The 14,322-nt window shown below is 47.9% G+C and overlaps 2 long non-coding RNA genes across 2 annotated transcripts, besides 3 other annotated features; one reads left to right on the forward strand and one right to left on the reverse strand.

The window, feature by feature from the left end:
- Positions 1-179: 179 nt before the first annotated feature.
- Positions 180-10,215, reverse strand: LINC00242 (long intergenic non-protein coding RNA 242). The gene is made up of 2 exons (NR_026781.1): positions 10,127-10,215; positions 180-2,508 (listed from the first exon to the last, which is right to left on the reverse strand). It is a non-coding gene; the product is annotated as a long intergenic non-protein coding RNA 242 (long non-coding RNA).
- Positions 1,463-14,263, forward strand: LINC00574 (long intergenic non-protein coding RNA 574). The gene is made up of 3 exons (NR_026780.1): positions 1,463-1,806; positions 6,574-6,752; positions 12,221-14,263. It is a non-coding gene; the product is annotated as a long intergenic non-protein coding RNA 574 (long non-coding RNA).
- Positions 11,893-12,585: an enhancer, noted in NCBI's record as "H3K4me1 hESC enhancer chr6:170200599-170201291 (GRCh37/hg19 assembly coordinates)". NCBI's record gives its function as "activates a minimal SCP1, AML or CMV promoter by ChIP-STARR-seq in naive H9 embryonic stem cells {active_cell/tissue: H9 hESC(naive)}" and the evidence as "EXISTENCE:reporter gene assay evidence [ECO:0000049][PMID:30033119]".
- Positions 12,586-13,279: an enhancer, noted in NCBI's record as "H3K4me1 hESC enhancer chr6:170201292-170201985 (GRCh37/hg19 assembly coordinates)". NCBI's record gives its function as "activates a minimal SCP1, AML or CMV promoter by ChIP-STARR-seq in primed H9 embryonic stem cells {active_cell/tissue: H9 hESC(primed)}" and the evidence as "EXISTENCE:reporter gene assay evidence [ECO:0000049][PMID:30033119]".
- Positions 13,280-13,972: an enhancer, noted in NCBI's record as "H3K4me1 hESC enhancer chr6:170201986-170202678 (GRCh37/hg19 assembly coordinates)". NCBI's record gives its function as "activates a minimal SCP1, AML or CMV promoter by ChIP-STARR-seq in naive H9 embryonic stem cells {active_cell/tissue: H9 hESC(naive)}" and the evidence as "EXISTENCE:reporter gene assay evidence [ECO:0000049][PMID:30033119]".
- Positions 14,264-14,322: the final 59 nt, after the last annotated feature.

Below are 14,322 nucleotides of genomic sequence, written 5' to 3' on the forward strand. Positions count from 1 at the left end.
ATCTATTGAGAACAAAATCATTCCCCTTCAGTTATCAAATGGAGGAAATTTAACAATAACACAGCACCATTATCTAATACATGGTCCATATAAAATTTTTCCCAGTGTGTATAATAATATCGTTTATACCTTCATTTATACCTGTTGTTTGTTTTTATCCAAGCACCACAACTGCTTTTAGTTACTATATCTTTTATTTTTAAAATCTGGAATAGCTCCCTTTTTGTTTTTTTTCTTTCTGTGTCAGAGACATTTTTGAAGTATTTATGTCACCTTTACAGAATGTTCATCAATTGGCTTTTGTTAGATTGTTTCCTCAAATTTGACAGTTTTAAAGAAACACTGCATCCATGATACTGTCTGAACCAGTGCATCACATCAAGACACATGATTGACACAATAATGCTGTGTGCCACTCGCTGCATCACAGCAGGACACATGAGGCACATATGTGCTGCTGTGCATTCCTCAGTGAATATTGCAGGACGTGTGGGTGGGGCCAGGTGTTGTCAAGGTCCCGGCAGGTCGCTCTGCCCTCTAAACACAATGGCTGGATGGGCGGTGGACACCTGCTCTGCGGAGCCTGGGCAGCAGCTGAAGATGATGTGGGGAGGGGCTGCTCAGCTGGGGCTGGAAGGTGAGGACAGGGCTGGGCTGGCCGCCTTGTGGAGATAGCAGGACTTGTTGAGGGAAAGTCAGGCCAGGGATGCAAACCAAAGCCTGAGGAGAAACTGCAGGGCCGTGCATGGCCTCAGCTCCCTTTCTGAGGCTCCGTTGATGTGAGTGCTTTCAACAAGCCCTCCAGGGAATCTCTGCTGCTTGCAACCAAAAAGTAGTGACCACTGGAAGAGCCAGCCCCTGCGAGAGGACAGAGGCATGGCCGCCATCAAGAGGCAGGCAAACCCCAGAGAAGGAGGCCACGGACTTGGCAGTGGACGACCGGTGTGCGATCTCAGTGCCACAGGTTACTGGTTTTGTGGCAAGATGTGTACCTGCTGACAGCATGGCTTCCTCGTCTGCAGAGTGTGACAGTGACATTCCCTGCCTCATTAGACGTTAGGATACAGTGAGGCGCCGTGCTCAGCCCCATTCTGGCACGTAGCATCGATAAACACCAGCTCTTACCGGACCGTTCCCTTATGCTGGGAGGAAAGAAACGATTTGGATTTCCTCTGTCTAGAAGTCCAGCTATCTGCATGTGTGTTCAGAGGACGTTCTCGTATCTCAGGAGTGAAACCAAAGCATCCTGTACATCTTTCCCCCACCCCCACTCATAGCCTCGGATTCTCTGCACAGCTTTAGTAAAGGAGCTGATGGGGAATCGGATGCCTGACCCCGAGTCCTCACTCTGGGGCTCGAGCTTAGGATAACTTCAGGTTCAGCTGAGGCCTCTGAACTGTGACTCCGCCCCGTGGCCGCATGCGTCGGAACTCCTACCTGCCCTTTGCCCTTCTCGAGGCCGGTGCTTGACTGGAGGAGGGCTGGCAGCAGAAGTGCAGCTGACCGGGTTGCGTTTTCGTACGGCTGACTAAAGCGGATACCGGTGGCGACTCATTTCTCGTTTTATTTTTCAACGATTTGGCGGAGAAGCTCCTCTTGTGAATGGACTTTGGATTTCTTGGAGCTGCGCTGCGGGTCCCACAGTGTGGCTTTCGGCCCGTGCTGTGCTGGCGCCTGCACTTCCTCTGGCGGGGCACGGGGTGGCGCTCCCTGGTAAAGCAGCGGCCAGGGGGAGCCGTGAGTGAGGCGCTGCCTCTCCCGCTGAAGCGGGTTCCAAGGCCACCGTGAGGGGGACCATCCATCCAGGTAAAACGTGTTCTTTCCTTGTTCCTTTGCGAATCGATGGGGATCAGGCTTCCCCAGGTGGTGAAGTGAGGAACAGGGACCGCGGGGCTCGCCTGACCAGTGGGGTCTCCATCCTTGTCCGTGCTGACAAAAGACAAGAACAGACAGCGCCTGAAATCTTCCCGCCTCCGTGAGGGAAGCCTGCGTCTGGGAACGCGCCGCAGGGAAGTGATCCCTGAGTGAGGGAGGAGGTGCCGGGGCATCATTAATCAGACCTCAATGCCGGGAAGGTTCTTTGTTTAAAGAAACACTCATGTTTAAAGAGCACTTGGTGCGGACTTGCTGTGGCCATCGCCCTCAACAGCTCATCTTTAGGAGGTGCAGGCTGAATTCACGCCTCGGTGTCGTCCATGTCTGCCTGCCGCGCAGAGGAGACAGCGAGAGGCCTTCCCACCGCACGGCTTTTACGGGAAGCTCTTCGCATTGGCTACAGGGGTGTGGTTTGGTTTATAGCCACACCAAGTAATTTTAATAGAACTCAATAACTGTGTTGCCTTGCAGGCTCCGAGTGCTACAGGCAGACCCGAGTCCGAGTCTTCCTACGGTTCATTGTCCCCCCCTGGATTTCCTAGGGACTCCAGATACGATGGCATCGATGTCAGTTAACTTGGCACTTCTTAAAATAGATCTATGATCAAATCTTAAGTTTTTCCGAATAAGACTCTGGAGGAATGCAGGAAGGTCATTTGATTACTTTAAAATAAGAGGATTTTATGTTAAAATATTGAAAAAGCCAGTCATAAAACTAAGCTCTGTACCAATGAATATAGTTCGCGAAGCCAGCAGCACAGGCTTATTATTATAAATATCAAACACCACCATTATGAGTAAGCTCATTTATTTTCAAAGCACTTTGCGATCATTAATTGTTCACGTCTGTGAATACCCCCTGAGAGACAGTATTATTAACTGCATTTGAAAGGAAGAAAACTAAGGCACAGAAAACCCGTAATTCATTGTCCTGAGGGGAAAAGGAGACACCAGGAACACGGCTGTCCTTTCGCTGCATCTTCTCTTTGGTAGAGATCCAGGGACATCTGGAACATCCACCCTCTTTCTCCCACTCACGGCCATGCCACCACCTAGTGCCTCACTGACATTTCCTCTCAATCTCAGGATAATCACATCGATGTAACACTTGGCAGGTTTGTTATCTCAGTGTCTATTATCTCAAAAATTAATCCTAATAGCAACCTTAGAAAGAGGCAATATTAGCCCCATTTCATAGGAAAATGAAGGATCAGTGAGAAAGTGACAGGTCTGTCACTGGCAGTGCAGGGCAGGGCCATTGTGGTGAGTCAGGCCTCGGCTGCAGGTCTGAGTTTATGCCATTGCCCCCATCTGTGGGGTCTAGGAGGCTGTTGTCTAAGCAGAAGGCATGACCCATCAGGGGCCATGGGTGGTGGGCACAGAATTGAGTCATCTGACTGCCTTCCCACCCACCTGTATGTGTTCTTTGTTTTATTTAAGTCCTGTGAGGGTAGTTTAGGACCTTGTCCCTTCCCACAGCATAGCACAGAAAATTGGGCAAGTCCAGACCATGACTAAATCCACTTTAAAAAACCCACCCCCGCTGAGACCGGCGGATTCTCTCCCTCCCCACTTGAGATATGATGTTGCCTTAAATGGTCCAGCAGTCGCGGAGCCTCAGGGGGCCTCTCTGCCTTAGTTGGTGCATTCCAGTGCTGCTCGGTCTGTATTTCCAGATCTTGCTTTTATCCTTTTATTTTCTAGAGTAATTGATAATTCCAATCTATCTGGCCTGCATGAGATTTATAAAATAAATGGACAAAATAGAAAATAAATATTTTATGGAGCCACCACTGTGTGCAAGACATTCTGCTAGGGAGGCTGAAGGGTCCCACAGCTTCTAAGGACCGGTCCCTGGCCTAATGGAGCTCACAACAGATTGAGAAGGGAGGAGGGACACCGCTGACACAGCCCACGCTGCCCAGTGCCGGGTGCAGGAGAGGCAGTGGATGCAGGGGATTGTGGGCAGGGTGTGCTGGGCCTGGGCCCTGGCTCCCTTTGGGAGCCTCATGGCCGCTCTGCTGTCTTCCTCCGTGCATGGCCTGGGCCGCATTGTGTGCTGTGGAGTTATTGGATCAGACCTGGATGCTGCAACCCAAGGAGAGAGAGGAGGACAGAGCCCAGGAGAAGAACAGCACTCGGCAGCCTGACCCCTAAAAACCAAACACAACAGAAACCAAGCCAATGGCGATGGTTGAGAAGAACCAAGCCAGCGTGTAGGGGAGGCTAGGGTGGCACCCTGGGCATCCAGGGTGGAGGGACTCGAGGAAAGGAATGACCGGAAACACAGCTGGGGAGGCCCGGAAGGCCGGGGGCTCAGGCTGAACTCTCTTGGGGTTCCCAAGGGGCTGACGGGGAGTGAATTGTCAGAGGTGGTCAGAGCCACAGATTCCTGGGGGACATGTACTGTGGCTCAGGATGGAGAAAAGGTGGGCTGAGGTCGGGACGGTCGGTGCAGGTGGGTGCACGAAGGCGTCTGGAGGAGGAGAAAGCTTTACAGCCAATGTCCTGGAGGGGCCGCAGACAGGAGGCACCAGGTGCTGGAAACCCCAAGCTGTTCCTTTTCATCGACGAAGAGGGGAGTGGGAAACATAGGGCGAATTTCAGAGTCTACTGTAAAGAGGAAGGATTTACCTGCCATGGTGTTGCTGGGTGATCTGGGCAAAGCTAGGGGAGCTGGTTTATGAGAAGTGAAGAGATAGGGTGGGGAGGAGGAGATCTGGACCTGGGCTTGGGAAATGTGAGGGGATCCAACTGCGAGAGACCAGAGGCACCCTCAGGACAGTGGAGCCCAGTTCTTTTCTCTGCAAATAAATCTCAGTTTTCCACATCTCAACATGTGAGGCAGCTCACCCTAGTTTCTTGTTCTTTCTCTAAGAGAGTTTGGCCTTCCATTGCCTACAAATGGGAGAAAAGCTAATGGGGCTCACGTACATGGAGGGGAGTTCAGGATGAGGCTGGTGGTTCAGGCATCCTGTGAGCCCAAGGGGATGCCACCGGCCTTGTGGTGCTTACAGAGACATGCGGCAGCTGTGATCCACATTGAGGGTGAGAAACAAGTGTGAGACTACAGACACCTGAGAGGCACTGTGGGGGCAGCACCCCGCAGGCAGAGGCAAACGGTGGGCCTGCGGTTTCCCTTCCCATCTGGTGTCTGCTGGTGGCTGGCAACCCCATGCCAAGACCTTTGGTGCCTGCGCTGTCCCCACCCCCTTTTACCCAGGGCCCCTGATGTGCTCGGCTCTGCCTGGCATGAATCCCAACAACTCACCCTGCCTCCTGCTTGTGCGAAATGTGCAAACGTGAACTTGCCCAGTATTGAAGAGCTCAGGACCTTGAGTTCCGAGAGCCAGGGAGGAATACTTTGTTGTTCTTTAGACCCAACAAGCCAGATCTGTTAACGCCAAACCTTCATTCCCAAGACAACCCTCCCTTTTGATGGCCCTAAGGTGCTGCCCCCTAATTTCATGACTTCTGCCACTGCAAAAGCTTCCCAAATTCGTACTGAGGCCACGCCTTTCAGAGTGGATGCACGAAGGAGGGCGGTTCATCGGAAGTGAATCTGAGATTAAACCCATGTATCTTAGCTCCCCAGTGCTCCCCTTCATCATTTCTAGAACATACGTAATAGCATGTCCTGGTCTTCTTGGTGGTCTCCTTAGGGATATAGGGGAAGGGCAGTTTTCATATCAACTTTCTTTATGTTACCATGAATTAGCTGCTTGCTGAATAAACTTCTCAGACAAAAATCCCACACTTCCCGAGTATTCGCCCTTCCACACCACAGTCACTTGCTCTAGTGTTTGCACACAGTTACATTATTATCAAAACTGCAGTTCAACTAAATGCTCCAAGTGCAGGTGAAGGTCTGTCCTCAAGGTGCTGCTTGAAGCAGGTGACTGGAACAGTTCCAGGTCCCTGCTGTTCTGGGGTGTCAGCATCAGCTCCGTTCAGGGGTGACAGACAGCAAGGCCCCAGCCGGGAGAGGCCAAGGGGACGGGAGTGAGAGGGAGAGCTCAGAGGCAGGGCAGGAGCCTCAGGATGGGAGATGCCAGGGCCTTGGCAGGCGGCCACCCCAGGACCAGGCAGGCTCCCCAAGCCAGGGGTTCTTTCCCTTCCAAGAGCAGGACTGAAAGGAGGCTCAGGAGTAAGGGGCAAGGGCGGATGGTGGCAGGTGCAGGGGGTGAAGGGGCCCCGCCTGGGAAAAGATGGCAATGGAGCTCAAGGAAATAGAAGCAGCTACGTTGCCACGGTGGCCACAGTGCAGGAGCAGGTGCTGCTGGGGAGCTGGGCCCCAGGCTTTATCTACACTGTCTCACCGTAAGTCCGCTCCCGACTTGGCACCATTGTCTGACTCCACACATTGCCATAGCCCTGTCAGGCAGGTGCTTGCAAAGGCCACAGAGCTGTTGAGTGGGTGCAGGAGGGAAGCACACCAGGAATTTGGCCCTGGTCTGAGGCTGCAGGGGACAGCTGGCTGTGGTCAGCAGGGCCCGAACCCCGGCTCTGGAGCCTGCAAGCCACCCTGAGGGTGCAGAAATCTGAATGTCTGGGGCCATGTGCAGAGTGTGGCCAAGTCGTAGCTGTGGCTTCAGCATTCAGAGCCTCTGCCTCTACTGGGGATTAATGCAGGTTTCCAACATCTCTGTGTTTGGTCAGTGCTGATCTTTTTCCTAACTGGCGACTTATTGGTTCCAGGAGAGTACTGGGCAGGCTGCAAATGTCTGTGTTAAAACAGCTCTGCTGGGCTAAGACAGGACAGAAGCAGACAGCAGGTGGATGAGACACAATTTCCTATCCAGCAGAACCTGCAGCAAGCTCCACAGCACCCTCCATGGGCTCAGTCTTGCTCCCGGGAAGATGGTTAATTCCATCAGGTCAGTATTTCCACACCTCCCGAGCCTCCACTTTCCTCTATGTGTTCTCTGAAACCCACCCCCCTGGGCTTGCCACTTAGATGATTCCAGAATTGCCTCACCACCCTTTACTTGCAGAACCTGGCCTTCATGTTATGGGGATGATTAGGAAAGAAAGTTGCTTCAGGAAATGGCCAGAAAGGGGTTCCACAGAACTGGCTTATGAAATAGTTTTGCAGAATCTGTAATTAGTAAGCTGGAAACAAAGGCAAAAGAAAAAACAGAAAATCTTATTGTAGAAAACATGCTTTGCAGTGTTTGAAAAGGCTGTTCTTGTTAAATTAACCCATTAATAAATACAAACCACATAATATTTGCTTTTAAATTATTGTCTGTAGTGTCAAAATAACTGGTCTATGAAGCCAGTGGGAGTCTGTCTAGTTGGAAAATAGTAGTATTTATTCTTTGAGGCCCCAAACATAAAAGAAAGTGTTGTTTAAATAAAAACATGGTGTGTGAGCATGAGAGGTGAGTGGACAATGGGAAATTACTTAATGAGTACAATACTCATCTTTTGGGTGAACACTAACAGCTCAGACTTTAGCACTGTGCAACATATCCATGTAACAGAATTACACCCGTACCCCATACATGTATAGAAATAAAAAAGATGCATCATAAACTGAACAAAACAGCCTATGATATATCTTGAAGAAATCATGCTTTAAAAATGATAATTTCATTATTGTATGGGAGAAAACTCACATGGCTCATAAATGAAAAACATGAAAAGCATTCAGTATAGTCTGTTCTCCATCCACATCCTCCTCTGCCTGGTTTCATTACACTCCTGTGTGTAACAAAGTCTTTCTTATTGATTTCTAGGAACTCTTTATATGTGGCACTAAGGGCATGAGTTATGATTAGGTTTTTGTGCGTCCTTAGAGCTTCCTGATGCAGATGCAAACACACAGGAATATGAGTGCTCACCTTCATCTTCTCTGTGTTTTACACAAATGGTGGCAGATTACATGCACTTTACCACACCTTGCTCTTATAAATTGGATAATCCCCCCTATGAGTACATGTAGCATTCCATTTTCTTACAGCTGTGGAGTATTTCAGTACCACACTGTATGGGTGGTTGGTGTTGATAGACACAGATTCTTTCAAATCTTTTGTTATAACAGATAATGCTGTTATCTTGCTAATATACCATTTTGCAGCCATCTTTGGAATCAGTCCCTAGGAGTGACATTGCTGGGTCAGAGGACACACATCTTTGTAATTCTGTAGGTGTTGTCAAATTATCCTGCATGCGGTCATGTGATTCGCTCTTCCCAGGCATGAAGGCCACTACTTCTCCACGGCTCCCTACCTGCACATCAGGAATGTCTTCTGACATTTGCTGATTGAATAGGTTTCCTATTATATTATTAGTAAGGCTGAGCATCTATTTAGTTTCTTTTCACTGGACCATTCCATCAAAGTTTTTTGCCTATTGATCTATTGAGTTTTTTTAATCTTTTTCTTATTGATTTTTTGGAGCTTTTAATATATTAAGGATGTAAGTTGTGATAAGAGGTGAAAATACATTCTTTTCCTCAGTGTCTGTCTTGATTTCTTAATTTGCTGATGGTAGTTTTTCATGCAGAAATTCCTATTTTGAGGTAGTTTAACTTATAAATTATTTTACTGCATTTGGATTTTTCAGTTTTAATTTAAAAAATCATGGAATTTGTCCATGATTTCTGTTAGTATTTTTATGGCTTTACTGATAACATTTAAATATTTTATCTATTTGAAATTTATTTTTATATACATGGTGGGACATGGGTGCAACTTTCATCTTTTATTATTTATTTTGCTGAATGCTACTCAGTTGTCCTAATGCCATTTATCACATAGTTTTTTTCACTAACAACTTTAGATGTCACTTTTATGACTTACTAATTTCCCTCCTATTTTTGTGTCTATCTGTATTTCCTGTGCTTTTCTGTTGTTCTGTGTGTTTATTCATGACCCAGTACAACAATGTTTTAGTTATTAAAACTATTATATGATCTAAGAACTGGTAAGGCTAATTTTCTCTTTACTCTTTTTTTTTCTGGATTTTCCTATTTTTGTTTGCTTCTTTTTCTATTTGAATGTTAGAATCAGATTGTCTAGTTCTCACCTCACAGTAAAATAAATTAACAAATAAATAAAATACAAAGATCCAGAAAAACCTCAGTCTATTTTTATTTAGGTGCATTCATTTACATAATAAGTCAGGGAAAGTTGGCATTTTATGATGTTGAGTCTTCCTAGTCGAGAACATCATAAGTCTTTCTATTTGTCCAAGTTTTCTTTTATAAACTTTCGAGGGTGGATAAAAATGTATCTCATATAGATGTTAACTTTCTTGTTAAGTTTATTCCTGGGAACTTTTTCTTGCTAATTAAATGGGAGTAATTTCTTTTGTTATATCTTCTAAAGCTATTGGTTTCTGTATATCAATTTTATCCCTACATCTTACTAATTTTCTTATTATTTGTTGAAGAAATTAACTTGATATTGTCTTTTGGTTTGAGATAGGTGTATCTTACCATGTTATGAAAATACTTATCAAATCCTATTTTATTAAGTTTTTTAACGCTAAATTTCATCAGATACGAAATGCAGCTTTTATACAGATTATCTTATTTTTTTTAAATCTTGGATCTGTTCAGAGGAATTACCCATAATCAGCTTTTGCAAATATTTTCTAAAGTTTTTGAATTTGATTTTCACATACAAATGTGTTTGGTTGTTGTTTACAGCATGTGTCATTCAAAACCCAATTTTTCATAAGGATGCCATGTTTTCCTAAGCATTTGGAGTTCCACAGCATCTTGAATTCGTTTAACAAAATGTTATAGAAGAAAAAACTTAGAATTAGTACAGTTGTGTCATTATTTAAAAGCTAACATTTTTCTCTGAGCTTGAAAAATAATAGATACCTTTTCTAGTGAAGAAAGCACCTTAAATTCTTTCTTGAACAAAGTATGTGTGTGTGGATGGAGGAGTAGGTTCGTAGGCAGATAGATTAGATAAACATTGTCAGTAAATTTAAATGGACATGATGCACACTTTAAACTCTCTCTGAAATAAAATAATGAGAAGTAAGAAATCCGAGCCCACAGATACTGGCCTGTTCAGGTGGTCCTGCTGAAGCACTGTCTCCATGGAAAGAGGAGTGCCAGAAGGAAGGACTGAGGAGACACAGCAGTGAGTCCACGTTCTTCCCCGAAACAACATCATTTCCTAAGCTTATTTATCACCTTTTAATTCTACAGAATCACATTGTGATTTTATAGTGACTAAGGACCAAGAGTAGAAATGTCTTATCTCCAAGGCATGGAGCAGGCACTTACCATTTAAAGGAAGCAATCTTCAGGCTTTTACAGGATATTGATCTCTTGGGAATGTCAGCAGGGGCACAAGGAGAGCAGTCGATGCGTCTGGACTCATAAATTGCTCACGTTACATCCAATATGCAGTGTATGATATGACGTGTCATGGAGGTGTCTGCAAAGGCACCACAAACACCAACATCTGGGTTACTTATTTGTCTCCTCTGCAGTGAAGCTGGCAATAAACACATCTCCCAGAGGCTGGGGAAGGTGGGAAAGAATGATCAAATGAAAGCTGCCAAAATGAGGGCATTTTTTCTGTCTTCATGAATCATCAGCCATAAAACAACAGCAGGACAGGGGTTGCATCCTTCTCTCTGCCGCTACAACCAGCAGGTGATGGATTGGACGTGGTGGCTACAAAACGCAGATGAAGGTCAGCACTGTGTTCTGGCTGAGACTTCTCAAATTCTCACTTCACAGTTAATTTTTGTTTCAGACAATGAATGTTGTTGTTATTTTAATGATAGCATAAGTTTAAAACTTTGATGCTTCCATTTTTCAAAAAGGGCAAACCACCACTGACAATAACAAAATCCTTTAACACAACAGCACTGGGGAACAGAGCCCAGGGCTTCTCCATTTGCTGATTCTCGGCACCTCCGTCTCTGTTACTCTCTGATGTTTCTTAAAGGCTGTCATATATGCATGGGATAAATGCGGCACAGCAGAAAACCAGAAATAAAGACAATGAGAATGAAGACGAGGCGGTTCTGGACAAGGTGCTGCTCAACCAGGAGGTGGCAACAGCAGGAGAGTGGACCTCCTTCCACTGAAGCTGCGGATAAACAGGACCTTGGAGGCCAGTGAGCTCCCTGCCCCAGTAGGGACGTGGCCTGCTCTAGGCAGAGGGCAGTTGAGCAAAGGAGAGAGGCATCAAAGTAGAATGACTTCAACTTTTTTAAAGGTTGAAAAACGCTGAATAAAGGATTACTGTAAAGAGTATGGGATTGTTTATATTTGCTGAGTAATCAATACCACATATTGCTTTCACGTTGTTTGCTCAGCTCTGTTCCAGGGCACATCCAAGAAGCATGGGCATGTTTCTGTGCTCTTACAAAGCCTCCTTTCTATTAGGAAGCCTGCAGCACACACAAAACAGCCATCAGCAAGAGTGTCTGTGGCCCCAGTGCTGCCCTAGGCAGCACACGAGAGTGATGGACTTTGAGTCCCTTTATTTTCTGCTCTCTGGAAGGAGGGGTTTTAATAGAATTTATCTTTTTATATATTCTGCCTAGCATTAGAGAAGCAGACAATTTTAGTCAATCATTCAAGACCATCCTGCGACCTCAGCTTTTGTGCTTTACAACCTTGTAAAGAAACACAGCAACATAATTAATTACAATTACAGCACTGTGATGTGAAATTTCAGCCAAAAATCTAAGTCAGCCAAAAATCTAAGTCATTGCCTTTGGCCTGAATTCCTTTAGCATAATCTTAAGACAGAACACGCATGCCTGATCCAAGGGCCTGTGCACATCAGGTGCACCTCCCAGCAGGAAAGGCTCGGAGGCGTGGGCCAGGGGATCATGCAGAGTTGGGCTTTCATTCAGCATCCCCGGGAATCAGGACATTGCACTCACACACACGCTTGCCACACAGCCTGGCAGGAGCCAAGACAAGGTTGCAACACTTTCATCTTTAAGAAAGGAGTTTGAAAATATTCGCTGCAAATTAACACAACTTTTCTGGCTGGTATGTACCCACAAATGGATGCAGCTGCACCCCGGACCGACCTGGGCTCCCTGAAAGATCAGAGGGAAATGTGAGGGACAAACCCATTCAGTGCAGAGCTCTCTTTCTTCAAGCAAGGGAAAAAAGATTTCCAAATTTGAAAATGACCTTCGCACCTCCCCTCCTTTCTGTTCCCCTCTTCAGTGGAATGTTTGAACAAGCACTGATGACTCGCTCCCAAATAGCCCAGATAAGGTTTTACAAGAACAGGTGGGCCTGCTTGAAAGATAAACTTTTTCTGAAGCAACAAGAAGACAAATGATCCGAAACTTGCAATTTGGTTAATGTTTCTCTCTCTCTCTCTGCCTTGTGTGTACACAGCTCCTTCTGGCCGGCAGCAGGAAGAGTGGCCCTGTGTGTGCCAGGCCCTGCAGTCTCTCCTCTCAGCTGGTGTCTCCAGTGAGGGACCTGAGTCATCGCACACATGAGCCTGTGCTCAGCCTGCACATCTCCCGCCTCCCACCAGCTGCTCCTCAACTGCCAGGGCCAGACTGTGGCAAAATCTCACTCCTCTGCCGATGCTGGGGTTTCCCTCGTGTCTGGGAGGTGGTGTGCTTGGTGGCCTGAGCACTGCAGTGAATCCATGTTTCCCTCCCAGCACCCTGTTCTGTCCTCCAACTTGGCCGACAGCTCTGGCCAGGGACGCAGCCCAGCTGGTGCCCACCCCGCACTCTGTCCATTTCATAAGAGCCCTTGGTTTCCTCACTTCCCTCAGATTTTGCCAAGAGAATGGTCCTGGTGTGGCCCAGAAAGGCCAGCGGGGTGCAGCCTGGGACTGAAAGCAGAGGCGGCTCTGGTGGGGAAAAAGTAGCTCTCCCAGCCTAGCCCTACTGGTGGGCGGCACCTCCTGGCTCCAGGCCATCTTTTGTCCCAGTCCTAGGTAAGAAAAACACAAACAAAAGCCAGTCCCATGGCACTCGAGAAGCAGGAGGCCGTTCCCTGACAGCAACATGCTGTGTGCACAGACACACGGGTGGACAGGAGGCAGAGCTCGGGGTTGCTGCGGAGCGGGCAGGACACTGGAGCGGCAGGCAGTGCGGACCCGCCGGGCAGCCGTGCACGGTTGTCGTCCTCAGCGGCAGGAGCCAGTTTGTTGCTCAGGGCCTTGTCTTTTTACAAAGAGCCCCAGGCCCCGGGGGCTTCTCTGGGTGCCTCTTTGCTGCCATGTCTGCACGCGGGCGGAGAGCAGACCAGGCTACCGACCCTCTCGCTTTGCTGTCTTCACGTGGAAAAGCCAGTGTCGTAGCCCCAAAGGAGGGGAAACTGTATTGATTTGGGGAGCCTCTATGTTGATTTCAAAACAGATTGTCTCCTGTGTTCTCAAAGACTGGAAGCGAACCCCACAACCGCCTTAGGCCACAAAAGCTTTATCCTTTCTAATTAGCATCCCTGTGACCTGCTCTGCGCCCTGCAGATATTTTGCTCAGCCAGCCAGAAGGAGGGAGGCCAGACACCAGCCCCCACAGACCTGCGGCTGCGACCCCCTGCCTGGGGACGATGGGGTCGGGGTCCAGTAGCTGCCCCAGAAACAAGTGGGGCTGCAGGAGGCTGATGGTGAGCTTGGAGGTTGGCAGAATTCTAAATCTGGGCACTGCAGGGTCCCCACAGGTCACGACCCTACTCTGCTCCACCCAGGCTCCGGAGGACCTGAGCAGGAACCTCTGCAGGGGGGGCCCGGGGCTCCCTGTCCTCTCAGCAGCCGGCAGTGCTCCCTGACAGCCCGGGCCTCTCCCTCCAGTAGTTCGGTAGTTTGCTGTCACCAACATGGCTGGGCCTGGGACAGGCTCCTCCTCTCCCTCCAGAAGCCAGGCAGTCCCTCCTGCCTCAGTTTCTCAGACTAGGCCGCCTCTCCCATCGCGAGACACTGAAGACCCTCAGCTGTTTCCATCTGCCCAGTCTGACTGCTGGATCGCCCTCTGTGTGCGTTGGTTTGCTGTGTTCTTGCTACTCGCCCTTGGATAAGATTTCTTCTCTACTCATGAAGCTGCGTGTCCTGGAGGGCAGGGCCGCACCTCACATGCATGTTGCCCACATAGCTCAGCAACAGATGCTCTCACGCTTGTTAAAAGTAAAACCGGGCCAGGCGCAGTGGCTCACGCCTGTAATCCCAGCACTTTGGGAGGCCGAGGTGGGTGGATCACCTGAAGTCAGGAGTTTGAGACTAGCCTGACCAACATGGAGAAATCCCGTCTCTACTAAAAATACAAAAAATTAGCTGGGCGTGGTGGCACATGCCTGTAATCCCAGCTACTCGGAGGCAGGAGAATTGCTTGAACCCAGGAGGCGGAGGTTGCGGTGAGCCAAGATCACGCCATAGCAATTGCACTCCGGCCTGGGCAACAAGAGCAAAACTCTGTCAAAAAGAAAAAAAAAAAAAAAAAAAAGTAAAACCAATTAGCCAATGTAAAGGAGTTTAACTGAGC

Source organism: Homo sapiens, chromosome 6, assembly GCF_000001405.40.
Source record: "Homo sapiens chromosome 6, GRCh38.p14 Primary Assembly".
Lineage (NCBI taxonomy): Eukaryota > Metazoa > Chordata > Mammalia > Primates > Hominidae > Homo > Homo sapiens.